Source organism: Homo sapiens, chromosome 6 (genome assembly GCF_000001405.40).
Source record: "Homo sapiens chromosome 6, GRCh38.p14 Primary Assembly".
In the NCBI taxonomy this organism is placed as follows: Eukaryota; Metazoa; Chordata; class Mammalia; order Primates; family Hominidae; genus Homo; species Homo sapiens.
This window is the reverse complement of record NC_000006.12, coordinates 30,765,763-30,793,062: the sequence shown is the minus strand read 5'-3', so window position 1 is coordinate 30,793,062 and position 27,300 is coordinate 30,765,763. Positions and strand designations below refer to the sequence as shown.

General features: G+C 47.0%; 1 long non-coding RNA gene across 1 annotated transcript, besides 6 other annotated features; it reads right to left on the bottom strand.

Annotated features, from left to right (window-relative positions):
• Nucleotides 1-812: 812 nt before the first annotated feature.
• HCG20 (HLA complex group 20) lies at nucleotides 813-26,238 on the bottom strand. The gene is made up of 4 exons (NR_138037.1): nucleotides 26,112-26,238; nucleotides 4,191-4,372; nucleotides 2,107-2,174; nucleotides 813-1,637 (listed from the first exon to the last, which is right to left on the bottom strand). It is a non-coding gene; the product is annotated as an HLA complex group 20 (long non-coding RNA).
• Nucleotides 4,123-4,300: a silencer, noted in NCBI's record as "fragment chr6:30756540-30756717 (GRCh37/hg19 assembly coordinates)". NCBI's record gives its function as "represses an EF-1alpha promoter that drives an FKBP-Casp9 reporter gene in an ReSE screen in K562 erythroleukemia cells {active_cell/tissue: K562}" and the evidence as "EXISTENCE:reporter gene assay evidence [ECO:0000049][PMID:32094911]".
• Nucleotides 13,537-13,831: a silencer, noted in NCBI's record as "tiled region #6937; HepG2 Repressive non-DNase unmatched - State 23:Low". NCBI's record gives its function as "represses a minimal TATA promoter and a strong SV40 promoter by Sharpr-MPRA in HepG2 cells {active_cell/tissue: HepG2}" and the evidence as "EXISTENCE:reporter gene assay evidence [ECO:0000049][PMID:27701403]".
• Nucleotides 22,778-23,977: an enhancer, noted in NCBI's record as "P300/CBP strongly-dependent group 1 enhancer chr6:30736863-30738062 (GRCh37/hg19 assembly coordinates)". NCBI's record gives its function as "activates an origin of replication core promoter dependent on BRD2, BRD4, P300/CBP, MED14 and CDK7 cofactors, with strong dependence on P300/CBP, by STARR-seq in HCT116 cells {active_cell/tissue: HCT116}" and the evidence as "EXISTENCE:reporter gene assay evidence [ECO:0000049][PMID:35650434]".
• Nucleotides 22,830-23,361: an enhancer, noted in NCBI's record as "H3K27ac-H3K4me1 hESC enhancer chr6:30737479-30738010 (GRCh37/hg19 assembly coordinates)". NCBI's record gives its function as "activates a minimal SCP1, AML or CMV promoter by ChIP-STARR-seq in primed H9 embryonic stem cells {active_cell/tissue: H9 hESC(primed)}" and the evidence as "EXISTENCE:reporter gene assay evidence [ECO:0000049][PMID:30033119]".
• Nucleotides 23,362-23,893: an enhancer, noted in NCBI's record as "H3K27ac-H3K4me1 hESC enhancer chr6:30736947-30737478 (GRCh37/hg19 assembly coordinates)". NCBI's record gives its function as "activates a minimal SCP1, AML or CMV promoter by ChIP-STARR-seq in naive and primed H9 embryonic stem cells {active_cell/tissue: H9 hESC(naive and primed)}" and the evidence as "EXISTENCE:reporter gene assay evidence [ECO:0000049][PMID:30033119]".
• Nucleotides 23,749-23,928: a silencer, noted in NCBI's record as "fragment chr6:30736912-30737091 (GRCh37/hg19 assembly coordinates)". NCBI's record gives its function as "represses an EF-1alpha promoter that drives an FKBP-Casp9 reporter gene in an ReSE screen in HepG2 liver carcinoma cells {active_cell/tissue: HepG2}" and the evidence as "EXISTENCE:reporter gene assay evidence [ECO:0000049][PMID:32094911]".
• Nucleotides 26,239-27,300: the final 1,062 nt, after the last annotated feature.

Sequence of the window (27,300 nt, the reverse complement as noted above, 5' to 3'; positions counted from 1 at the left end):
CTGAACTCCCCAGAACAAGACTGTCTTGTGGTTAAGATGAGATGTGGGGGTGGGGTTGTAAAAGCAGTCAGCATGCCGAGCATAGAGCCCCTCTCCAACAGGAAAGTCTTCAGACTCATCTTCCAAGACCTCATCCTCTCTCTGTATAGATATTATCTAGTGCTGCATGCATATCCTCCCCTCCATTCCTACTTGATTTATTATTTTACTCTTGTTCAATGATATCTGGACTTATATGTCTTTTCTTGTAACTATCAAAGTCCCTTTGGATATAAATTTGGTGTACATAAATAACAATAGTGGGGCCGGGCACGGTGGCTCGCGCCTGTAATCCCAGCACTTTGGGAGGCCGAGGCAGGCGGATCACGAGGTTAGGAGATCGAGACCATCCTGGCTAACACAGTGAAACCCCGTCTCTACTAAAAATACAAAAAATTAGCCGGGCGTGGTTGCGGGCGCCTGTAGTCCCAGCTGCTCAGGAGGCCGAGGCAGGAGAATGGTGTGAACCCAAGAGGCAGAGCTTGCAGTGAGCCAAGATAGCGCCACTGCACTCCAGCCTGGGCGACAGAGCGAGAGTCCGTCTCAAAAAATAATAATAATAATTTTTTAAAAAATAACAATAGTAGTTACCAAGCATTGACTGTAATATGCCAAACAACGTATATACATTGTCTTTTATCCTCATGATGCTTGGAAATAGAATTTACAAGAAACAGAGGCACAGGAAAGGGAGGCAACTCATTCACTTTCTCACAGCTAGTAAGTGGTGGGCTCAGGGTTCAAACCCAAGTAGGAAGGAATCTATGTCGGACTCATGCTGTTAGTAAGTTGTCTTTAATGGTGTGTATATCATTCGTATTCCTCTCTCACCTACTACTAGTTACGCAGTTTTACAAAAGCTGTTTCCTAAGCTGAGCTAAAGGAAGGTTAACTACAAACACACCTGCGTGCACGCACACACCCTTTATTCAGCTAGATTACTTCATCCTTTCAACCAAAGGAATTGGGCCTCTTCCATGCCAGACACTGGCATGGTAAACATGTCAGCCATGGTCCCTGCATTTCTGGAGCTTCTATTTTCACTACCGCTATTCCCCAGGTATGTCTTAAACGATACCTTCTTTAGTAGGCATTCCTTGTCACCCCAGACTAAATTAGATGACCTCATTATACAGTACCATGCTTTTCTTTCATAACACCCAATACCCTGTAATTACTTGTTCAATGTCTTTCTTCTTGGGCCGGGTTCGATGGCTCATGCCTGTAATCCCTGCACTTTGGGAGGCCGAGGTGGGTGGATCACCTGAGGTCAGGAGTTCGAGACCAGCCTGGCCAACATGATGAAACCCCTGTCTCTACTAAAAATACAAAAAATTAGCCAGGAGTGGTGGCAGGTGCCTGTAATCCCAGCTACTCAAGAGGCCTGAGGCAGGATAATTGCTTGAACTTGGGAGGCGGAGGTTGCAGTGAGTCGAGATCACACCACTGCACTCCAGCCTCGGCAACAAGAGCAAAACTCCGTCTCAAAAAAATAAAAATAAAAAAGTCTTTCTTCTCATTGTCCTGTGACCTCCATGAGGATGAGACGGGCTGTCCTGTTCGCTGCTATAGCCAGTATCTTGTGTAGCACCTGGCACCTAAGAGAAAATTCATAATTGTTTGTTGAATGAATGGATGTGAACAAGCAGTAGGAAAAGACTTTCTCAAAGGTTAGGGAAGATGGTGCAGGGTTGGTGACTAACCCATATTTAGCTGATATCAGTTTCTGTGCCACTAAGTTCTAACCTCTCTCTGCTTAATAGGAACCAGCAGCCTCTGAGTTTAAGCCTCCCTCCATTGCACACACATTCCAGTGTCTGCCTTGCTAATGAGCTCTGCCAGGCTCAGCCCAGGAGCTGTACCAGTGAGTGGCAGCCTGCCCTGTGGAAGGGACTAATTAATCCTAAATGTCACATTGGTCTCATAGCTCTTGCCCTTTACACGCATACCCAATCTGGGTATCTCTTTAATCACAATCTCTAGCCCTGGATTGAACCTCAAGAGAATCAACAATACCTGGAACGAATGACCACATCCCCGCTCCACCCCTCACTGTGTTGGGGTTACCTGGAGATGGTGTCTTTCCCACTGTAGTCTGTAGGAGGAGGTCACACACCTGGGAATAAGAGTGGTCTCTGAAAGAGATGGCCATTCAGGTATTAGGCAGGCATAGGTGAGGTGGGTCATCAGATAGGGACCTGGAACTCAGAAGGGAGCCTTTCACAGGAGGGGTGGGAACCTCCATGCGTCTCTAACCTTCTCTACTCAGACTCAGGGAGTTGCCATGGGAGGGAGCCAGGAAGGGGCAACTCCTGCAGTTGCCTTCAATGACTCTGATTCTGGTTACCTGCTGCTCAGTCCTTCACTTTCTCTTTCCTTAGCTCTTGGCCTTTAGGGAGGTCCTGTTTTAACAAGACTGTTCCAGGTGTGTGCAGTGCTGATGGCCTCAGCTGTACTTGTTCATAGACATAAAGGGACAGAAAAACCTCTGGGGACAGGGTAGGGCTGCAACGTCCAGCTTCGCTCCCCAGGGAGATGCTCCCATCACAAAAGATGTACCACTTATTTTGTTACAGGAGGCTGCTGTTTCTTTGCAGCATCTTTTTGGTTGTTTTTGAGATGGGGTCTCATTCTGTTGCCCAAGCTGGAGTACAGTGGCATGATCATGGCTCACTGCAGCCTCAAACCCCTGGGGCAATCCTCCCACCTCAGCCTCCCAAGTAGTTGGTACTACAGGTGCTCACCAACACACCTGGCTAATTTTTATATTTTTTGTAGAGATGGGGGTACACCATGTGGCCCAGGCTGGTCTCAAACTCCTAGGTTCAAGTAATCTGCCTGCCTCAGCCTCCCACAGTGCTGGGATTACAGGCATGGGCCACCGAGCTCAGCCTTTTGGCAGCATCTACACAAGCTGCGGAAGGCCTCTGATTCCAGGCCTCAGATGGAGTGCCCCAAAGTGGCATGAGACTCAGCTCTGCAGATTTTTGCCCTGGGGCTTAGAGTTGTTCTGCTCTTCACAGATCCCAGCCTGGAATAACCCCATCTCTACCAAAAAAACACAAAAATTAGCCAGGTGTGTTGGTGAGCACCTGTAGTCCCAGCTACTTGGCAGACTGAGATGGGAGGATTGCTTCTGCCTTAGGAGTCTGGGGACCTTGCCAGAGGAAGGTCACCACCTGTCAGGCAAAGGGATTCCTACTGTAACCCCAGGGTCAGGAATCCGGTCCACAAACTGCTTTTCATCCCAAGACCTCAGGCTCAAAGTCAAAGTTCCCCTCTTCTGTGTTGTGCAGCACCACCCCCACCACACTCCCACCAATCCAGGGCACTTTTCTAGTTTCTTCATGAATTAGATCTCCCTTTTCTTGATCTGAAAGAAAAGGACCCTAATAACAAGCCAGAACTCCTCCCAGCAAAATCCCTGGGATTAATAACATTGGTACTTACTTTGTTCATGTGTGAATAATCAATATTCTCCAGCCTCTTTTCTGTCTCTTTTGTGCACACACTTTCCCATAGATACTATCGGTCTTCCCTCAGTCTGCAGCTGAAACTCTGTGACTGCTGGGGGCAGGCCCTGTTCTCTTCAGCTCTCACTCTGGACCCCAAGGTTAGTGCTCTGGGCCGGGCGCGGTGACTCACACCTGTAATCCCAGCACTTTGGGAGGCCGAGTCTGGTGGATCACTTGAGGCCAGGAGTTCAAGACTAGCCTGGCCAACATTGCGAAACCCTGTCTCTACTAAAAATACGAAAATTGCCAGGCATGGTGGCACGTGCCTGTAATCCCAGCTACTTGGGCAGGAGAATTGCTTAAACCTGGGAGGCAGAGGCTGCACTGAGCCAAGATCACGCCACAGCATTCCAGCCTGAGCGACAGAGTGAGACTCTGTCTCAAAAAAAAAAAAAAAAAAAAGAAAGACAGTGATGTGTTAGCAAACCAGCTTGTGGGGGAGATGGGGATCCCTGATTTGTAGCAGTTATCCGTGTGTAGTTATTCCGTGGTGTAGATACTTCCTCCCATGACCAATTTCCAACCACTGACAGTTTAACAACCAGCTTGCAAATTTCCTGAATATTTAACACTCTCACTAGCAGGTCTGAGCTGGCTCCAGCACACCACTGGTTCAGGGGAATCACTGGAGCTTACCTGGGACCCAGGATGTCTTGACAAAATGAGTAACAGATCACATGGAAGTGAAGAGAGAGAGGGTACCTCACACGTCATTTCTGCCCGCTGGCTCCCCTGGCTCAGGGTACTGGAAAGAGTACGGGCTTTAGAAAAGCTCTAGGTTCAAGTCCTTGTGTGACTGCAAGTTTCAGCATCCAACTCTGCAAAATAGGATTGATAAAACCAACCCACAGGATTACTTTGAAGATAAAATTAGATACCTAGATTAAATGCCTAACAAATACATGGAGCAAGCTCTCAATATACGTTTTCTTTTGCCCCCACCCTGTCCTAATTTTCTAGTAGTTCAAAGAATTCTTTTCCAAAGGACCCAATAGGAGAAGCTCAAATGCATCACTGTCAAAGAGGGGACAGGTAAGTCTACCCAATCCACCCCAGTGTGAGCTTTAACTTTGGACCCCTTCAAGGAGCACAGCTCTTTTCTGCTTCAAGACTCTCCTTTGTCCTCATTCCAAGAGGTGAGTTCACCAAAATTTTCTGGGGTTCATGCCACCTAGCTTCATTCTCCTCTGATATGGCAAGCTGCACCCAGAATCAGAAACCACACTTCAAAAAGGGAGCAGCATGTCAGGGCCAGAGCAAGGGCATCGGCTGCCCCAAGGCTGCCCTTTGTACGGGGCAGAGCACATAAAGCTTTCCGCAAGCCCCAAATGCCTCCCACATCAAACCAGGTCCTATAGTCAATGGTTACACTGAACACTCATGGGGATTTATGGCACAATTTTGCAGCAGGAGGTTGTGGTCCGAGATTTAGAAGAACTTTCCAACTATAAAACTACCCTAGAAGGAAGTGGAATCTTTGACTCTGTGGCTCGAGTGAGGGAGGAGTCAGAAGCAGAAGGGACATGAGGCTCCCTAGATTTGAGTTTTGCTGCTCACAAACAATGAAATGATTGGGATCATACAGCAGAGACAGCAAATGAAACTTTGGAGAAATACCGTTTCTTTTTATTTTTTATTTTTATTTTTATTTTTATTTTATTTTATTTTATTTTATTTTATTTTTTTGAGACGGAGTCTCACTCTTTTGCCCAGGCTGGAGTGAAGTGGCATGATCTCGGCTCACTGCAACCTCTGCCCCCGGGTTCAAGCGATTCCCTGCCTCAGCCTCCCCAGTAGCTGGGATTACAGGTGCTTGCCACCACGCCCGGCTAATTTTTGTACTTTTAGTAGAGACAGGGTTTCACCATGTGGCCAGGCTGGTCTCGAACTCCTGACCTCAGGTATTCCACCCACCTCAGCCTCCCAAAGTGTTAGGATTACAGGCGTGAGCACCACCCCCAGCCTAAGAAATATGGTTTCTTGTGACAAAGAGCTTTTGGTAACTCAGGAAATTTTCAGAAACTTTGAAGTATTATACAAAAACTCTTAATTAGAATTAGATGAGAAGGCCAGGTGCAGTGGCTCATGCCTGTAATCCCAACGCTTTGGGAGGCCGAGGCAGGCGGATCATGAGGTCAAGATATCGAGACCATCCTGGCCAACATGGTGAAACCCTGTCTCTACTAAAAACACAAAAGTTAGCTGGGCGTGGTGGTGCGCGCCTGTAGTCCCAGCTACTCAGGAGGCTGAGGCAGGAGAATCGCTTCAACCTGGGAGGTGGAGGTTGCAGTGAGCCGAGATCATGCCACTGCACTCCAGCCTGACGACAAGACTCCATCTCAAAAAAAAAAAAAAGAATTAGATGAGAAGATCTGGGTTTGAGCCATATCTGGCCACCTTCCAACTGACTGACCTATGCAAGTTATTTAACCACACTGAGTCTCAGTCACTCATATGTTCACTCACTCAGGCTATATTTATTGAGCATGTAGCATGTGTCTTGCATGGGGCTAAGAGAATCCTGGGAAGATAATGGTGAGCAAAACCGGGCACAGTCCTTTTTCTTTTCTTTCCTTTTCTTTTTTAAGTAGAGACGGGGTCTCACTCTAATGCCCAGGCTGGTCTCGAACTCCAGGGCTCAAGTGATGCTCCCACCTTGGCCTCCCAAAGTGCTGGGATTACAGGCATAAGCAACCTTGCCAGGCCCATGGTCCTTTTCTTACGAAGCTGAAAATTTATTCCTCCGTAACAAGGCATACTAATGCTGAGACCACTGGATATGCACATGCAAAAGAATGAAGTTGGACCCTTACCTCATACCATAGACAAAAATTTATTCAAAATAGATCAAAGACCTACATGGAAGAGATAAAACTATTAAATTCTTAGAAGAAAAGACAGATGTAAATCTTTGTGACCACAGACTAGGCAGTGGTTTCTTAGCTATGACACAGTGCACAAGCAGGAAAAAAAAATAGATAAATTGGACTTCAAAATTTAAAACTTTTGTGCTTCAAAGGACATTAAGAAAATAGGCTGGGCATGGTGGCCCATGCCTGTAGCCCAAGCACTTTGGGAGGCCAAGCCAGGAGGATTGCTTGAGCCCAAGAGTTCGAGATCAGCCTAGGCAACAAAGCGAGACCCTGTCGCTATTAAAAAAAAAAAAAAAAAAGAAAAGAAAGAAAGAAAGAAACAGGTAAAAAAGACCCATAGAATGGGATAAAATATTTGTAAATTATGTATCAGTTAAGAGACTTATATTTAGAATTTATAACAAACTCTTACAACTCAATAATAAAAAGACAACTCAATTAAAAAATACGCAAAGGATCTGAATAAACATTTCTCCAAAGGTATACAAATGACCAATAAGCACATGAGAAGACGTTCAGGCCAGGCGCGGTGACTCAGCACTTTGGGAGGCCGAGGTGGGCGGATCACTTGAGGTCAGGAGTTTGAGACCAGCCTGGCCAACATGCTGAAACCCTATCTCTAGTAAAAATATAAAAAAATAGCCAGGAGTGGTGGTGCACACCTGTAGTCCCAGCTACTCAGGAAACTGAGGCAGGAGAATCGCTTGAACCCAGGAGGCAGAAGTTGCAGTGAGCTGAGATCGTGCCACTGCATTCCAGCCTGGGCGACAGAGCGAGACTCCATCTCAAAAAAAAAAAAAAAAAGATATTCAACATCATTAACCACCAAGAAAATGCAAATCTAAACCACCATGAAATACCACTTCATACCCACTAAGATGGCTAGAATCAAAAAGACAGACTGGAGAAACTGGAACCTTCATACACTGCTGGTGAGAATGTCAAATGGCTCAGCAACATTGGAAAGCAGTTCTCAAAAGTGGAACATAAAGTTAATGACCTCGAAATTCCACTCCTAAGTGTATACCAAAGAGAAAATGGATGTCCACACAAAATCTTATACATGAATGTTCACACTAGCATTATTCATAATAGCTAAAATTTGGAAACAGTATAAATGTCCATCAACTGATGAATGTATAAATAAAATATGGTATATCCATACAATGAAATAGTATTCAACAATAAAAAGAAAGTACTGATTCATGCTACAACACTGAAAACACTATGCTAAGTGAAAGAAGCCAGACATAAAATGCCACATATTGTATGATTGTTTATATGAAATGTCCAGTGTAGGCAAATCTATAGAGACAAAAAGTAGATTAGTGGTTGCTTAAGGCTGGGAAGGGGAGAGATTGGGGGTAAAACCGGAAATGACTGCTAATGAGCATGGGACGTCTTTGAGTGTGATGAAAATGTTCTAAAATTGTGGTGATGGTTGCACAACTCTGTGAATATACTAAAAACCATTTCTGCCGGGTGCGGCGGCTCACGCCTGTAATCCCAGCACTTTGGGAGGCCGAGGTGGGTGGATCACGTGGTCAGGAGTTCAAGACCAGCCTGGCCAAGATGGTGAAACCCCATCTCTACTAAAAATACAAAAATTAGCCGGGCACGGTGGCAGGAGCCTATAATCCTAGCTACTCTGGTCTGAGCAGGAGTGTCGCTTGAACCAGGGCGGCAGAGGTAGCAGTGAGCCAAGACTGAGCCACTGCACTCCAACCTGGGCAATAGAGTGAGACTCTGTCTCAAAAAAAAAAAAAAAAAAAACACATTTCATTGTACATTTTTAAAGGGTGGATTTTTTTTTTTTTTGAGATGGCGTCTCACTTTGTACCCCCCAGGCTGGAGTGCAGGAGCATGATCTCGGCTCACCACACTGCAACCTCCACCTCTTACAAGGTGAATTATATAGTATGTGAATTGTATCTCAATATAAATGTTATTAAATTGTATACCCACATTCACAGCAGCATCATTCACAATAGCCAAAAGGTGGAAGCCATCCAAGTGTCCATCAATAGATGAATGAATAAGCAAAATGTGGCCAGGCCTGGTAGCTCACACCTGTAATCCAAGCACTTTGGGAGGCTGAGGTGGGAGGATTGCTTGAACCTAGGAGTTCGAGACCAGCCTGGGCAACTTGATGAGACCTCATCTCTACCAAAAACACAAAAATTAGCCAGGCATGGTGGTGCATACCTGTAGTCCCAGCTACTCAGGGGACTAAGGTGGTGAGAGGTTGACTTGAGCCAGGGAGACTGAGGTTGCAGTGGGCTGAGATCGCACCACTGCATTCCAGCCTGGGCAACAGAAGGAGACTCTGTCTCCACCCAAAAAAAAAAAAAAAATTGTATAATACATATATACATATAATGGAATATTTTTTTAAAAAGAAAATTCTGATATGCACTACAATGTGGATAAACCTTGAAGACATCCTGCTAAGTGAAATAAAAGCCAATCATGATCGGGCGTGGTGCCTCATGCCTGTAATCCTAGCACTTTGGGAGGCTGAGGCGGGTGGATCACCTGAGGTCAGGAGTTTGAGACCAGCCTGACCAACATGGAGAAACCCTGTCTCTACCAAAAATACAAAAAATTAGCCCAGTGTGTTGGTGCATGCCTATAATCCCAGCTACTCGGGAGGCTGAGGCAGGAGAATAGCTTGAACCTGGGAGGCAAAGGTTGCGGTGAGCCAAGATTGTGCCATTGCACTCCAGCCTGGGCAACAAGAACAAAAGTCCATCTCAAAAAAAAAAAAAAGCCAATCACAAGAGGAAAAATATTTTATGATTCCACCTTTTTTTTTTTTTTTAGACAGAGTTTTGCTCTGTCACCCAGGCTGGAGCGATCTCGGCTCACCACAAACTCGCCTCCTGGGTTCAAGCGATTCTTCTGCCTCAGCTTCTCAAGTAGCTGGGATTACAGGCGCCCACCACCACGCCCAGCTAATTTTTGTATTTTAAGTAGAGACGGGGTTTCGCAATGTTGGCCAGGCTGGTCTTGAATTCCTGACCTCAGGTGATCCGCCCACTTCGGCCTCCCAAAGTGCTGGGATTACACTCGTGAGCCACCATGCCTGGCCGATTCCACTTTTTTTAAGACAGAATCTTGCTGGAGTGCAGTAGCGTGAGCTCAGCTCACTGCAACCTCTGCCTCCCGCGTTCAGGCAATTCTTGTGCCTCAGTCTCCCAAGTAGCTGGGATTACAGGCACACGGCAGCATGCCCAGCTAATTTTTGTATTTTTAGTAGAGATGGGGTTTTGCCATGTTGGACAGGCTGGTCTCGAACTCCTGACCTCAAGTGATCCATCAGACTTGGTCTCCCAAAGTGCTGGGATTACACGTGTGAGCCATCGCGCCCAGCCTATTATTCCACTTATAAAAGGCACCTACATCCTGGCCAACATGGTGAAACCCCGTCTCTACTAAAAATACAAAAATTAGCTGGGCGTGGTGGCGTGTTCCTGTAATCCCAGCTACTCGGGAAGCTGGGGCAGGAGAATCACTAGAACCCAGGAGGCAGAGGTTGCAGTGAGCCAGGATCGTGCCACAGCACTCTGGCTTGGTGACAGAGAAAGACTCCGTCTCAAAAAAACAAATAAATAAAAAATAAAATAAAAGGCATCTAAAGTGGTTACATTCTACAGAAAGTAGAATGGTGGTTGCCAGGGCTAAGGAAAGTGGGGAATGTGAAGGTATTGTTTGCTGGGTGGAGTTTCAGTGGGGGAAGATGAAAAAGTTCTGAATGTGGCTGATGGTGATGGTTGCACAATAATGTGGATGTACCTAATGCCACTGAACTGTATGTTTACAAACAGTTAAAATGCTAAATTCTATGTCTATTTTACTACAATTTTCAAAATAAAGGCATAATGATAGCTCTTACCTCACAGGGTGATTGTAAGAATGAATAAGATGAATATTGGCTGAAGGAATGGCTAAAATGAGTAACAACTTTTATGAGCCTGGCCTGGAGAGCAGGGTTGGGAATGAGACAGGGAGTGGTGGAGGGACAATTTAACTGTCTACCTTAACACATGTACCATTGTTTAGGTTTTCCCCCAACTGTTATATAACTCAACAAAGTATAACATGGCAGAGGGCTGCTTACATTCTCAAGTTATTGATTTGTTCAAGTCTCAGTGTCCACAGAAAAGTGCATGAGTTTTGGGATCAACATTCTATCCTTGGCCAGTATTTGACCTTCTGTGTTTGTATCTTTATGTGTATCTTTCCCCAGATTTCTTTAGCTTTGCTTACCTTACTCCTCATCTACCCCCAATTGACTTGAGTCTTAGTCACAAAGATCTTCAATTTCCCTGTCTGATCACTAGATCCTCCCCTCTCATCTGAGAAAGGCCCCAGACTCAGATAGAAGGGCTCCCTGTCTCTCTGACCCAGTATGCCTCTTCCCCATTTTTACCTGACTTTATACAGTGAAATCTTCCCTGAGAGCTGACTTTTCAGTTCCTCACTTTGCGAATTGCAAGACCCACTCACCCAGGAGGCCGAAGATGGCTCAGAGCCCAGACAGCCGGAAGTCTGTTTCCTGGGCCGGGGAATGCTGGCAGAAATCCAGATAGCTGACGTCACCTGGTCCAGATGGCGGAAGCCATTGCCCAACCATAGGAAATCGATGCCAACAACACATTTCTCTATGACTGTCTCCCTCAATCCAGAAAAGCATTTTCATAGAGAGGAGGCAGCTCAATAGTAGTGGAAAGTGGCCTAGCCTTCGAACCATGTGATGTGTTGAGTATGAGGCTGGCTGCAGCGTCAGCTGACAGATAACGTGAGAGCGGAGCACTGTACTCCAAGTCAGAAAACGTAAGTCTGAGCAGGAGAGCGGCCACCTAACTTCTGACCTTTGACAAATCACTGGATTTCCTTCAACTGGCTTTTTTAAAGCTATGAATAATAATACCTCACAGAAGCTATTATTGCAAGGCTGGAATGAGGTCATCTGTATAGAAGATTTCATAAGCTTGAAGCAGGATGCCAATGCAAAATTCTGCCTCTGTGAGAGGCTTCCTGGGAGAAGCAGATCCTGAGGGGCAGAATGGAGAGTGACTACAGGCTGATCCCAGAGCCAGGCAGCTGGCGCTGTGTGAAAGTGGGCTTGCCGCTGCCTAGCTCTGCAATTGGGATGCATAACAGCCTCTCTGTGCCCAGTTACTCAGTCAAAATGAGGATAAGAATGCCCATGTCTGGTCGGGTGTGGTGGCTCACGCCTGTAATCCCAGGACTTTGGGAGGCTGAGGTAGGTGGATCACCAGGTCAAGAGATTGAGACCATCCTGGCCAACGTGGTGAAAACCCGTCTCTACTAAAAACACAAAAATTAATTGGGCGTGGTGGCACGCACCTGTAGTCCCAGCTACTCAGGAGGCTGAGGCAGAAGAATCGCTTGAACCCGTAAGGCGGAGGTTGCAGTGAGCCAAGATCACACCTCTGCACTCCAGCCTGGTGACAGAGCAAGACTCCATCTCAAAAAAAAAAGAATGCCCATGTCACAGGATGGTCTTGGGGGATAGGGGGACAGTAAGTGAGTTACTCCACATAGAGCACATAGCACAATGCCCAGCATGTGACAGCACTCACTGTTGAGTAATAATTAAAAAACAAATCAGGCTGGTGGGACCAGGGGAAAGCAAAGAAATGAGGCAAATGGCCCAAGACATATGGCCCTCCTGCTCAGATAATGTACATAACTCAAAAACTTCTGCTTACCATCAAACACCTCAATTTATCAAACACCCTGGCTGACAAAAAAAAAAAAAAAAAAATGCAAGTTACCTCCCTGCTACCCTGGCATAATCAGTACTGCACATAACACTCTACAGCCTAAGAGCCATCCTACAAAATCCCCAACAAGCCTTTGTTTCCTTGCAGTCAGCTCCTCTTCTGCTGGCCTGCCCGTTGCTCTCCTGCCCATTGCTCTCCTGTTTTTCTACTTTCTCTAATAAATTTGCCTTTCTCTACCTACAACTGTCTTGGTAAATTCTCTTACCCCTGAGCCGCCAGCCCAGATAGCCGTTGCTCCCCTGAAACATTTTGGTGGCCCATACAGGGAACTCTCCCTCTCCATACAGGGACTCTCTCTCCTTTCCCTTTCCCAACTCGGGACCCTCGAAGGACAGCATCTAAGCACAAAGACAATTGCAGGTCTCTGGCCAGAGCTACACTCCAGTGAGACTGAAAGGTGTCTGTCCATGTGGAAGCATCTGATCATCATTGCCTGGTTTGGGTGAGTGACCTGACTTTTTTTCTTTTTTCAGTCTTTCAGCAACCAGCTTCTAGTATCTCTCTGGCAATCAAAGGTAACTGGCCAGGGCCACTCTCCAGTGTTGCCTGAAGGCCCAGAGTGAACAGGGCTAGCTGCCCTGCCTGGAAGGGAGAAAGGCTGTTGCCCATCTTCTCTAATTGCAAGTCCCTCATCCCTATATGTGACACAATTGACAGCAGAAGCTTGTTCGGGGCAAACTCACACACGTTTTAGGTAACTCAGACGCTCTCTTTCTCACTCTAAATTCACCTATGGAGTCAGCCAGCCATCCTGTCCTGGGCCTTGCTAAATCAGGTGATGTCAGACAGCCTCAGAACGGTGAGTCTTCTCTTACCCACCCCACCTCCTGGGCCAAGACCAGGTAGAGATCTTCCTTTACCCTTCTTTTTCCTCGTGCCTGGGCTGATCACCCAGCATAAGTGAGTGCCTGGACTGGCCATCCAGCATGAGGCCCCTGAGCGGCCAGGAGGTCTTTTCTAATTGGTGGGATGCCCCCTTTGGAAAGTGCATCCAAGTCCCTCTGTGGATGTAAGTGGAACCCTCTGTTCATCTCAGTGAGATGCCCCCCGCAGAAAAGTGCAGTTCATGTCCCTGATTGACATTGCCCCAGAGCGGCATGTTTTCCAGTCCCACCATGGAGCAAACCCCGTCCGTTCCTGCAAACTTGCCTCTAGGCTGTAAAGAATTGTGACAAATTCTACCGCCAAACTCTCAAAAAGAAACATCTAATTTTCTTGTATAACACAGCATGACCCCTATGCAGAAAATTACCAAATTAGCCTCCTCAGTCTTTATAACCAAGAACAAAATAAGGAGGACAAGACTAAGAAAAAAACAAACACGGAGCCAAAAGGCAGGCTCAACTGTTGGCTGCTTTACAAGCCCCAGCTCCTACTCAGATAGCAGAACTCACAAACTTCCTGCTTACCATCAAACACTTCAACTTTCCAGACATCCCAGCTGACAAAAAAATGCAAGTTACCTCCCTGCAACCCTGGCGTTTTCCTAATTACTGTAATAAATCTGCCTTTCTCTACCTACAACTGCCTTGGTAAATTTTTTTTTTCTTTTTTTGAGATGGAGTCTCACTCTGTCACCCAGGCTGGAGTGCCGTGGCGCAATCTCGGCTCACTGCAAGCTCCGCCTCCCAGGTTCAAGCAATTCTCCTGCCTCAGCCTCTCGAGTAGCTGAGATTAGATTACAAGCACCCACCACCGCGCCCGGCTAACTTTTGTATTTTTAGTAGAGACAGAGTTTTACCATGTTGGCCAGGCTGGTCTCAAACTCCTGACCTTAGGTGATCCACCCGCCTCGGCCTCCCAAAGTGCTGGGATTATGGGCGTGAGCCACTACGCCCGGCTGGTAAATTCTTTTACCCCAACGCCACCACCGCAGATAGCCATCACTCCCCTGAGACACTGATGAAGCAGCGGCTAGGATGATTCTTCCAGAGGCCATCCTGTCCACTTGCAGGCCCTGGGCTGGGTGGGTATTCAGCCCAATCCCCAGAGACCTCATGCAAAGAAATGCTGCCCCAACACACTGTCCACATGGCAGGCAGAGCAATTTAGCTAAAAATCTGACCATGTCACTTCCCCACATAACAGCCCAAATATCCCCGAGCCCATCCACTTAAAGACCAACATCTTAACATTTGAGTCTCTGTGATAGGACCCTGAATCCCTCTCCAGCCTCATCTCCTGCTGCCCACAGCCTCTCATCAAGGGTCCAGCAACCCCAGACTACCTGCAGCTACCTGGCTCCTATTGCCCCTCTGCCCATCGTGGTCCCTCTTTCTCCTCAGAAACCTTGCCATTGCTAACTCCTAGTTATCCTTCAAGACACTCAGGCTCAAATTTTCCAGAAAGCCCCTTTGCAGGGCCTGCTTCCCCTTCTCTTCCCTTAATTCCTCCTGGCACTTCCATCATTGCACAAGCCAGATTGAATCCCAACTGTTCTTGTGTCTGTTTCACACCAGTCTAGGGGCTCCTTGAAGGCAGAGGCCAGCACTAGGTCTTGGTTGCCCCTGTAAAGCCAGCCCAAGCACAATGTCAGGCACAGAGTAGGCGCCCAGTAAACCGAGTGGAAAGACTGATAAATGCACACCCAGAAGCTCTATTTGCCAAAGTTTGTTTGTTCATTTGTCTTAAGGGAAAATGTTGTTTGCCTGGGGTTGGGGCCAACAATTCCAAGAAATACAGTTTCCCTTTGCCTCAGTGGTTTTTCCTTTTGTTTTCTTTTGTTTTTCTGAGAATCACCTCTGTCTATGCCTCAGACATCCCTTATACCTGTTTTTTTGTTTTGTTTTGTTTTGTTTTTTTTTATTTTTATTTATTTATTTATTTTTTATTTTTTGAGACAGAATCTCACTCTGTGGCCCAGGCTGGAGTGCAGTGGCGCACTCTCACCTCACTGCAACCTCTGCTTCCCAGTTCCAAGCGATCCTCATGCCTCAGCCACCCAAGTAGCTGGGATTACAGGCCTGCACCACTAAGGCCAACTAATTTTTGTATTTTTAGTAGAGACGGGGTTTCAGCATGTTGGCCAGGCTGGTCTTGCACTCCTGACCTCAGGTGATCCATCTGACTGGGCCTCCCAAATTGCTGGGATTATAGGCGTGAGCCACCCTGCCTGGCCCTCTGTACCTCTTTCTTCCCTGTTTTTATACTTTGTCTCGCCTTCTTTATCACTTTGTTTCTTTTCCTTTCCTCTGTATTACATTTCTGTACCTTTGTTGCTTTATATCCTTTCTTCTTCCTTTTTCTTTTGTGGTTGAGTGGCTCTCTGTTCTATTGCCCTTTAGCCAGGGTTAGAAGCTGGTAAGAACATTCCTGGGGGCCAGGTGCGGTGGCTCATGCCTGTAATCCAGCACTCTGGCAGGCCAAGGCAGGGGGATCACTTGAGCCCAGTAGTTCAAGACCAGCCTGGGCAACATAGTGGGACCCTGTCTCTGCAAAAAATAAAAAAATCAGCTGGGTATGGCAGGGTATGTCTGCAATCCCAGCTACTCGGAAGGCTGAGGTGGGAGAGGATTACTTAAGATCAGGAGGGGAAGCCTGCAGTGAGCTATGATCACGCCACTGCACGCCAGCCTGGGTAACAGAGCAAGATTCTGTCTCAAAAAAAAAAGTATCCCTGGGTTCATGACTCTTAGAAAGAAAAAAGGAGAGTCTGAAAGGAAGAAAATCAGCTTTATTATGTACCAAGAAGTTCCAAACATTTTACTTCACATAATCTTAGTAATAAATGTGTAATGTGGTATATCAACCAAGCAGGCTAGGTTATGCTTCAGTAACAAACAACCCCCAAATCTCAATGGCTTTTATGCAGCAAAGCTTCATTGACTCTCCTGCCACATATCCATGGTGGGTTGGCCGAGGCTCTGCTCTGAGCTGTCATTGTCCTAACTCCAGGACCCAGGTTGACAGAGCAGCCACTATGTGGAATATCACCAATTACTATAGTTGAAGGAGAAAAAAAAATGTGGAAAAGCATACACTAGCTTTTAAAACTTCCACCTAGAAGGCACCATTTTAATTGGCCTCAGTAAGTCACGTAGCCACGCCTGGATTAGTGGGTAGGAGTTAAATGGAGTGGCAAAGTTCAATTTTCTTACACCCTTTGAAGGAAAGAGGGCCTCAAGTATTTAAAAATAGGTCTGATAATCACAGTGGATGTTACTGTTCCCACTTTACTGATGAAATAGCTGAGGCTCAAGAAGTTTACATAGTTTGTTCAAGAACATGCAGCAAATATCAGAGAGAGGAAGTGAACCCATGCCTTTTGATTCCTAGGACTGTGACCTTCCCCTCCACTGGGTTTTTAAGATGCTAGGCCTGGCCAGGCACAGTGGCTCATGCCTGTAATACCAGCACTTTAGGAGGCTGAGGTGGGCGGATCACTTGAGGCCAGGAGTTCGAGACCAGCCTGGCCAACATGGCTAAACCCTATCTCTACTAAAACTACAAAAAATTAGCTGGCGAGGTGGTGTGTGCCTGTAATCCCAGCTACTTGGGAGACTGAGGCCGGAGAATCACTTGAACCCAGGAGGCAGAGGTTGCAGTGAGCTGAGATGGTGCCACTGCACTCCAGCCTCGGCAACAGACCAAGACTCTGTCTCAAAAAAAAAAAAAAAAAAAGGCCGAGCACGGTGTCTCACGCCTGTAATCCCAGCACTTTGGGAGGCCAAGGCGGGAGGATCACGAGATCAGGAGATCGAGACCATCCTGGCTAACACAGTGAAACCCCGTCTCTACTAAAAAATACAAAAAAAATTAGCCGGGCGCGGTGGCAGACGCCTGTAGTCCCAGCTACTAGGGAGGCTGAGGCAGGAGAATGGCGGGAACACGGGAGGCGGAGCTTGCAGTGAACCGAGATCGCGCCACTGCACTCCAGCCTGGGCGACAGAGCCAGACTCTGCCTGAAAAAAAAAAAAAAAAATTAGGCCTTTTCTACCAACTTTTTGGACACTGCTGTGAGGCTTGGCTTGCTGGAACCCAGGAAGAAAAAGGATAAGAAGCTCATCTTTGCTCACTGGCCCCAGAGCATGACTTCTGGTGAGGGGCATCAGAATCTCTCTCCAAAACATTGAGAGACTTCTAATTCCCAAGACAAAACCAGGTGGGTTATAAAACTTGCACCACAATTGTTAGAAACCTTCCAGACAAAACCAATTTATGGTAACAGAAGTCAGAATAGGCCAGGCGCAGTGGCTCACGCCTGTAATCTCAACACTTTGGGAGGCCAAGGAGAGCAGATCACTTAGGTCAGGAGTTCCTGTCCTCAGGTGATCCACCCACCTTGGCCTCCCAAAGTGCTGGGATTACAGGCGTGAGCCACCACACCCCACCAGCAGCCTGACTCATAATGGTCCCCACTGACCTGGGCAAGCAGCTGGCAAGTGCTGACCATGTGGCCAGAGGAACAGACTCTTCCGTTTCATCAGTACTGCATCAGTCTGGGCATCTTGTATGACCTGAGGGAGGGAGCCTGAAAACTGTCTGACACTGGAGTTCCAGTCAGTGGTGGGCAGGGCTGGACCCAGAGTCTATTTGAGTGAGTCCACAAAGAAACAAGACATTACTTGTAGCCCAGGAGCTGTGGGGCAATCATATCTGTTGCATATATGTGGACATACATGCCTACCTTCACATAAATGTTTCTAGATAGATAGAGAAGGATCTAGTAACAGTTATGAGTCTGGGAAGTGGGACCGGATCTCCCTTTTTTTTTAACTGTTTTTTTTTTAATTGAACAGATTTTCTTGTATAATAAAAATGTATTTCAAAATTAGAATGACAGCAATAATAAACTCAGATTGCTAAATTCTTCAAACGATAGGAAAGCTGGTAACCCTGCCTCATGGGAGGGGTAAGCTTGTGACCCACACCTCGACAGTGATGTCTCCCAGCTATGGCGTGTCCTCTGGGCAGCTGGAAAGGAGGCTAAACATAGAAAAGCCTGTGGAGTGTGCCAAGACGGATCAGGCCTGGTGCTAGAACATTCCTTCACTCTGTCAATGAGCAACCACCTCGTACCTGTGTCTCAGGGACCGGGGACGTAGGAGTGAGCAAAGCACACTGGCTTCCTAGACCCCGAGACTTAGATGCTAAAGGAGGGGATGTGTGGGTCACTCTGGCCCAGCAGGAGGACAAGGAAGGAGAGTGAGAACCACAGAGGGCCCAGGAAGATCCCCAGGCCTGGTACAGGGCAAGGCGGGGAAGGTGGTATGCCTTTTCCAGGGTAGCCAGTTCCTTAGCGCCTCCTTTCAGGAACTCCTCTGCGCTATTGAGGGGCTAGAAGGTCTCTTCTTAATTAAAAATAATTTTATTTTAAAAATTAACATAAAGTAAAATTGATTTTTTTCAGTGGACAGTCCTATGAGTTTCACATGTGTAAAGATTCATGTAATCACCACAATCGATCATGTAATCACCACCACTGAAACAGAATAGCTCCACTGCCTAAAACACTCCCTCGGGCTACCCCTTTGTAGTCCCATCCTCTTTCCTGCCCCCGACAAACTCCCTGCTATTTTGCTATTTTGATCTAGTCTCTGTTGCTATCGTTTTATCTTTTCAAAAGTGTCACATAAATGGAATCATACAGTCTGTAACTTTTGAGAACTTTTTTCACTCAGCGTAATGCCTTTGAGATTCATCCAAGTCATTGCATGTGTCAGTAATTTGTTTCCTTTTTTCATTTTAAAAATGTATGCAGTTTGATGTTTTTCTCCTTTTCCTTTTCTTTTCTTTTTTTAAGCAAGGTTTCACTGTGTTGCCCAGGCTGGAGTAGTGGCATGATAATGGTTCACTGCAGCTTCAACCTCCTGGGCTCAAGTGATCCTTCTGCCTCAGCCTGAGCAGCTAGGATTACAGGCGTGCACCACTATGCCCAGATAATTTTTGTATTTTTTGCAGAGACAGGGTTTCACCATGTTGCCCAGACTGGTCTTGAACATCTGGGCTCAAGCAATCCTCCTGCCTCAGTCTCCTAAAGTGCTGGGATTACAGGAATGAGCCGGTGTACCTGGCCCCAATTAGTTTTTTTAAATTAAATTAATTAACTAATTGGCTATCAGCAGGAAACAAACCGATGAGCTTTTACATTTATATTTACCCATTTAACCACCATCTAGACAAGATAGCTTCAACCCAGGAGTCTCCCTTGTTTCCCTTGCAGTCAATATGTAGCACCCTCTTTCCTGCCCACCTCACTCCAAACTAACCACCATTCTGATTTTTTTTTTTTTTGAGACAGAGTCTTGCTCTTGTTGCCCAGGCTGGAGTGCAGTGGAATGACTTCAGCTCACTGCAACCTCCGCCTCCCAGGTTCAAGCGATTCTCTTGCCTCAGCCTCCCGAGTAGCTGAGATTACAGGCACCCACCACCACGCCCAGCTAATTTTTGTATTTTTAGTAGAGACGGGGTTTCACCATGTTGGCTAGGCTAGTCTCAAACTCCTGACCTCAAGTGATCTGCCCACCTCGGCCTCCCAGAGTGCTGGGATTACAGGTATGAGCTATTGTGCCCAGCCTGCACCCCTTCTCTTTTCCATGAGTCCATGGAAGTCTAAGAGTCAACCAAGAAGTAGGCTCCTGCCCTCACACCCTGTACTCTCATACCATCTGGCACCACAGGTATCTTTCCAGCTCTTCCAAAACGAGGCCTGCTTAGGGTGGGTTTCCTTTACAGCCCCACCCAGCCTGATTCTTTCTGTTCCTTCTAAAACATACACAAAAAGCCAAACACCTCAGGGGTCAGGAAATCCACAATTTCAAAGAAATGAAGTCCTGGTTGCCCAGAGGTGGGAGAGGAGAGGAACACTTTAGTTTCTTTTTAATTCTCAGTAGATTGTTGTTACATGACATTCATAATAAACTGTCCTGCTATGTAACATATTCTTTTAAATATGATTGTTCCTTCAAATGTGATACATGTTGGGAAAGTTGTAGGGAGATCAGTTAATAATCATTTATGGGAATGTTTCCTGAATGAAGGAGCCCAGGATGGGCACGGGATAGGAGATTTCAAGTAAGGAACAGATAGGACCCTTCTGAGAGATTTCAACCCAAATTAGACAACAAAATACATATACTCTCTGAGGACAGCTCAGGTCAATGGAAATGTATTGAGCATCTACCAGTAAAAGTTAATCTTGACTGCTTAGTAGGCACCAGGCACTGTGCTAGCCCTGGGGATACTGCAACCAACCAGACAGAGATCTTCCTGCCTTGTGGAGCTCAGAAGGACAGATATGAAACACACAGGACTGAGGTGGTGACTCTTACACAAGGTGGAGTTCAGGGTACCATAGGCATGTATAGCCAGAGGACCTAACACAGGATGCAGATCAGGGAAGGCCTCTCCTAGAAGCTAATGTTCAAACTGAGACTTGAAAATGATGAAAATATAAAAACATCAGAGCAGGGGGAGGGGGAACCTGAGCTACAAGAGATCCAGACAAGTCGGAGGAACCAAAAAAATTCCAAGATATAAAAGCGTACAGACAGAGAGGTGAGTTGGGTTTAGAAGAGGCTGGTAAGGTGGGCTCAACCAAAAAAGGCCCAGTGGACCCTACACTATGGAATGAATTGTGTCCCCCCAAATTCGTATGTTGAACCCCTAACTCTCAATGCGACTATATTTGGAGATAGGGTTTTTAGGTGATTCAGGTTAAATGAGGTCCTAAGGGTGAGGCCCTAATCTGATGGGACTGGTGTTCTTATAAAAGGAACAGGATGCACAAGAGAGCTCTCTCTCCCCACATGCACGAAGAGGCCATGTGAGTACAGAGCAAAATGGCGGCCACCTACAACGAAGTAAAGAGGACTCTGGGCCAGGTGCGGTGGCTCACACCTGTAATCCCAGCACTTTGGGAGGCTGAGGAGGGTGGATCACCTGAGATCAAGAGTTTGAGAACAGCCTGGCCAACATGGTGAAACCCCGTCTCTACTAAAAATCAAAAATTAGCCAGGCATGGTGGTGGGCGCCTGTAATCCCAGCTACTCAGGAAGCTGAGACAGGAGAATCACTTGAACCTGGGAGGCAGAGTTTGCAGTGAGCCGAGATCATGCCATTGCACTCTAGCCTGGGTGACAGAGCAAGACTCTCTCTGTCTCAAAAAAAAAAAAAAAAAGAGAAAGAAAGAGGCCAGGCGTGGTGGCTTACGCCTGTAATCCCAGCACTTTGGGAGGCCGAGGCAGGCAGATCACAAGGTCAAGAGATCGAGACCATCCTGGCCAACATGGTGAAACCCCGTCTCTATTAAAAGTATCAAATTAGCTGGGTGTGGTGGCGGGCACCTGCAGTCACAGCTACTCGGGAGGCTGAGGCAGGAGAATCACTTGAACCCGAGATCACGCCATTGCACTCCAGCCTGGGCAACAGAGCAGGATGCTGTCTCAAAAAAAATAAAAAAATAAAATAAAATAAAATAAAAGAAAGAAAGAAAAGAGGACTCTGAAAGTCTGAATAAAGCTGACCTTGCCAGCACTTTGGTCTTGGACTTCTCAGCTTCCAGAACTGTGAGAAATAAACTTCTGTTGTTTAAGCCACCCCGTCTAGGATATTTTGTTATGGCAGCCTGAGCTGACTAATACACCATATAAGAATTTTGAGTATATTTCTAAAAGCCTGGTGGGAAGCCACTGGAGTTCTAAGCCAGGGACAGACATGCGTACATCTGTGAGGCTCATTTTGGCGGCAGAGTGGAGAAGGCATCTGAGCAGGGCAAGACTAGAAGCAGAGAGATGAGGTAGGAGGTGAGGGTAGGTGCTCAGGCTGGAGATGATGTTGGAGGCTTAGAGCCTGGTGATGTGGGGATGAGGAAAAGTGGAGAGATTGGAGAGACCTTCATGGGGAAAATCAAAGGACTTGGGGATTAACAGAATAAGAGGAGAGGGGAGGGGGAGTCCAAAGGCCCCCAGGTACAGTGGAAAGAGCCCTGGGCTGGGAATCTAAAGATCCAAGTTCTATTCCCAGATCTGTCACCCAATGGCTTTGGCTAAGTGGCTTCACTACCCTTCACCACTTTAGTTTCCTCATCTGTACAGGAAGAGATGGGCCTGCTGATCTCATGGTGCCGTCCAATTCCATTATCCTGTGATTCTGTGAAGTAAATGCATTAACAAGATAAAACAATGGTGTCATCTCCCCAGGATTGTTCACGGACCTCTCCTCCACACTTTACCTAACACTATTGATCACCGTTTACTTAGCTGTACATTAGAAAGCTTCCATTACTGATCTGTCTCCCTCAAAAGACTGAGACCTCCTCGAGGGTAAGAACTGGGTCATTTTGCTTGGTATCCTGTACCTGAAACCAAGCCAGGCACATAGTAATTGATTAATTATATTTGTTAAATTGATTATTGTAAGTGCTGGGAAGACAGGCACATGGTTATTCCGGGAAGGCATCTGGGTATGATGTATGTTTTCTGAGTACAGGGCACTGTGATGGGTGCTAGGGCCATCAGAGTAAACAAGAAAACCAGTCACAGACCTTACGTCAGGTAGCTAGGCAGACATTAAACACAAGAGGACAAAAATGATGATTTATTTCTAGTTGTGGTGAGTGCTACAAGGAAAAGTACTGGGTATTGTGAGTGTGTAATAAAGAGACTAGCTTGGGGGTAGAGGGAAGGTTTCTCTGAAAGAATGACCCTTAAAATAATAAGGATGAGTAGATTTGCTCACAGATTGAAGGAGGGGAGAGACAGAGAGCATGACTGCAGGTAAAAGAAGCAATAAGCACACATGAAGGCCTGAAGCTGGACGGAGTTCTGGCGAGGAGAATGCCAGATGGAAATCCACCGGAATGTAATGTTAGCTAATTTGGGTTATGGAATTATTGGTGCTTTTTATTCTCTTTTGTGTATATTTTGCATATTACAGATTTCCCACAACAAACATGTACTATTTTAATCATGGGGGTTGGGGGGGGCATTGCTAGTTTTAACAAAATAATAAAGGATGTGGGGAGCATGGGTGTCTGGAGGAGGGGTGCATTCCAGAGGGATTGATGACACGAGCGGTGACTAAGTCCTGCATGGGGGAGGGCAGGAGGCCCATCAGTGGGGCTGGAACAAAGCAGCAAGGATGACTCACAAAAGACACAGCCGAAGCCAGTGCATCAGGGCCCGTGGAGGTGAGGCTGGGGAGTCGGAGGTGATATGAGAAGTCGCAGGGAGCTACTGTCAGACCAACTAGGCAGGGACAGCCTACACCTGAGTAGAGGAGAGGATGAGGAACCAGAGAGAAAAAGCTCCCCTCAGCAGTCCCTGTGGGGCTGGTACAGGACCTTGGGAACCTGGTAAGGGCAGAGTCCTCCTTGTTACTTTCCAGGCACGAAAGGGTTAGATTGTCCCGTGCTTTCTGCCCCCACAGCGGAAGTGGAAGCTGTGGTTTCCAAAGGCCCTTCCTGATCTGCAATCTCTGAGAAATCAACTAAAGAGATAAAGTCAAAGGTTGGTTGGTGGTGTGCAGTGGGCGCGGGGGTGGATCACAGGCAGGAGTTGGAAAATTGAGGCCTGATGCAAGCTCTAAGATCCGCCCCCACCCACTCCTGATCATGAGTGATAAGCACCCCACCACCCACTCTGCCACTTGGCCGGGATTTCCCCGGAGCCTGTGAAGTATTCCCAGGGCTGGGATGTGACTTGGGAGGAGGTGGTAATTGGCTCCTTTCTCCGCTCTGAGCTGGGCCTCCAGGAACTGCCTCCACCACGTCCCCCTTCCCCTCCAGGGGAGTTACTCAGCACAGTCTGACTGCTCCACCTGAACCCTCCTTAGCATCACCCACTCACCTCACACTCCTGACCCAGGTGCTGCCTGCTCATAGCCAGGGCACAGAGATGAGGAGCAACTTCATCCCAGTCTTCTACCCAGCCCCAAAGCTGAATTCCGCAACAGGACCTGGTCCTGACCCTGCTCCCATGAAGAGATGCAAAATCACACTAAATCTTCATGTTAAATCATCATATGTATCAAATGCCAACCAGTCAGTAAGCAGCCGAGGGCACGCTGTCCACAGCCCTACAGCTAGGCCTGTGCTGCTACCAGGGTGCAGAGGCAGGGGCCTTGAAGAAACAGCCCCAGCCCCTAGGAATGCTATTTGCTGTTGGAGACAACAAGTTCTTAATAAAAGCCACATCAACCCAGAAGACCTGAGTCATCTGAGAGAGACCATTTGCGCCTCTAAGCCTCAGTTTCTTCAATTGTGAAATGGTAATGACAGCTAGTTTAGAATTAAATGATGCCGTGTATGAAAAATAGATGAGAGACTTAGAAGGATCCCGTCCTTCCACAGATACTTATTCCTGGGCCAATGCTCAGGATATAAAGATAAAGTAAACAAACGTAACAGGCCTGATCCCTGCCCTCAAGAGGTTCCTCAAGTTGCTGTTATTGTTGACCCAATGACAGCTAAATAAATGAAGGCCACTCATAAAAAGCAAATGGAGGCTCCGATAGAGTGTGGCCGATGGTATTTTCCAAAGTTGGGTGCCCCTTTCCACTTGCTCTCCTTGTCCCATGACTGACACTCCAGGTAGGGGCCATGTTCCCTCTCTTTGAATGGGAGCGGGGCTGTGACTACTCTGACCAATAGGGTAGGAGGGAGGTGATGCAGATCAAAAAAAGATGAGGTTATAAAAAGAATGCAGCTGGGCACAGTGGCTCACACCTGTAATCCCAATACTTTAGGAGGCTGAGATGGACAGATTGCTTGAGCCCAGGAGTTGGAGACCAGCCTGGGCAACATAGTGAGACCCTGTCTCTACAAAATAATGATAATAATAATACAAAAATCAGCCAGGCATGTTGGCAGTAGCCCCAGCTACCAGGGAGACTGAGGCAGGAGGATCACTTAAGCCTGGGTAGTCAAGGCTGCAGTGAACCATGACTGCACCACTGCACTCCAGCCTGGGCAACAAGAGTGAAACTCCGCCTCAAAAAAAAAAAAAGCAGTTCATGCCTGGTTCCCTCACAGCAACCCAGCCACTATGCAAGAGAAACTCTAACTAGACCACAGGTAGAAACCCTGAGGTCCCTGAGCTAACTGCCAGCATCCACTGCAAAGTGTCTGCAGACGATTTCAGTCCCCCAGCTTTCGAGTCTTCCAGCTGCAGCCCCAGATAACATGGAGCAGAGACAAGCCATCCCCACTGCGGTGTGTCCAAATTCCTGGCCCACAGAATCCGTGAACGTAATAAAGGGTTGTCTCATGCCACAAAATTTTGAGGCAATTTGTTGGACAACAAAAAATAACCAGAACACAGAGGACAAGCCAGAATGAGCAGCACATAAGTCGAAGGAGAAAGTACCCTAGAGGTGTTAAGAGTTAGTCAGAATGGAAGGACATTAACTGTGGAAAGCATTACTAGACCTCACGTCACCATATGGTTTTGTACTCTGTCCTGCTGTGAAACTCTTCCTTCAAAGGCCACCAGCAACCCCCAAAGTGACAAATATACAAATTCCCTCTTGTTTAAACTATCATCTAGGCCTGCGCCATGGCTCACACCTATAATCCCAAAACTTTGGGAGGCTGAGGCAGCAGGATCATTTGAGCCCAGGAATTTGAGACCAGCCTGGGCAACACAGTGAGACCCCCAGTCTCTAAAAAAATGTTTAAAAAATTGGCTGGGAGTGGTGACATACACCTGTAGTATCAGCTACTCAAGAAGCTGAGGTGAGACGATCTCTTGAGCCTGGGAGGTCAAGGCTGCAGAGAGCTATGATCATGCCACTATACTCCAGCCAGGGTTACAGAGCAAGACCCTCTCTCCAAACAAACAAACAAACAAACAAACAAAAAAACCCTCACAAACAAACAAACAAAAAACCCTATCATCTGTGCGCCGAAGTCCCCCACTCCAATAGCTACATACCTAGTCCTATCTTTTCACCTGAACTCCTGTCTTGTAGCTCCAATTTCCCGCAGTCACATGCCAGTTCCTTATTTCTTTGCCACCTCAAATCCAACACAACCAAAATGGATTCACTATCATGGACACTGTTTGGGCTCAGGTCCTTTTCACCAGTGAGTCCACTCACTTTCCAGCTTTTGGGAATATCAGCTGATAACCACACACAATTGTCCCCTTTTCTGGAGAATTGCCCTGGGCCAAACAGGAGCCAAGCCCTCCTCCCTTGCACACACTCTGGACAGACTCCCAGTGGCTGCCTGACCTTAAAGCAGATCTACAAAACGCCAGCCCCCATGCCTCCAAGTGCAATTGACTGGTGCAATTTGCTGCCCTGAGCTTCCCCATGAGCTCAGGCTGAAGCTCACATCCTTGCTTAGCCTTTTTCCCTTCCCTATCCTGTTTTCTTCAGTCTTTCTCCTGAGAGCCTCCCGCAGTGTATCTCTTGAACAAAAGTCCCCACCCCAGGTTCTGCTTCAAGGTAGCCCAATCTAAAACACCTGCTGCCGAGTGCAGTGGCTCACACCTGCAATCCCAGCACTTTGGGAGGCCAAGGTGGGCAGATTGCTTTGAGCTCATGAGTTCAAGACCAGCCTGGAGACAGGCTGGACACAGCAAAATCTTGCCTCTTCAAAAGATACAAAAAAAAAATTAGCCTAGCTTTGTGGCATGCGCCTGTAGTCCCAGCTACTTGGGAGGCTGAGACAGGAGGATCGATCGCTTGAGCCCAGGAGGCAGAGGTTGCAGAAAGCTGAGATTGCACCACTGCACTTCAGCCTGAGTGACAGAGGAAGACCCTGTCTCGAAATAAAATAATAATAATAATAGGCCGGGTGCCGTGGCTCATGCCTGTAATTCCAGCACTTTGGGAGGCCAAGGTGGGCGGATCACTTGAGGTCAGGAGTTGGAGATCAGCCTGGCCAACATGGTGAAACCCCGTCTCTAGTAAAAATAAAGAAATTAGCTGGCCATGGTGGCACATACCTGTTACCCCAGCTACTCGGGAGGCTGAGGCAGGAGAATCACTTGAATCTGGGAGGCAGAGGTTGCAGTGAGCTGAGATTGCACCATTGCACTCCAGTCTGGGCAACAAGAGCAAAACTCCATCTCAAAAAAATAATAATAATAAATAAAACACCAACCAAGCCAAGTT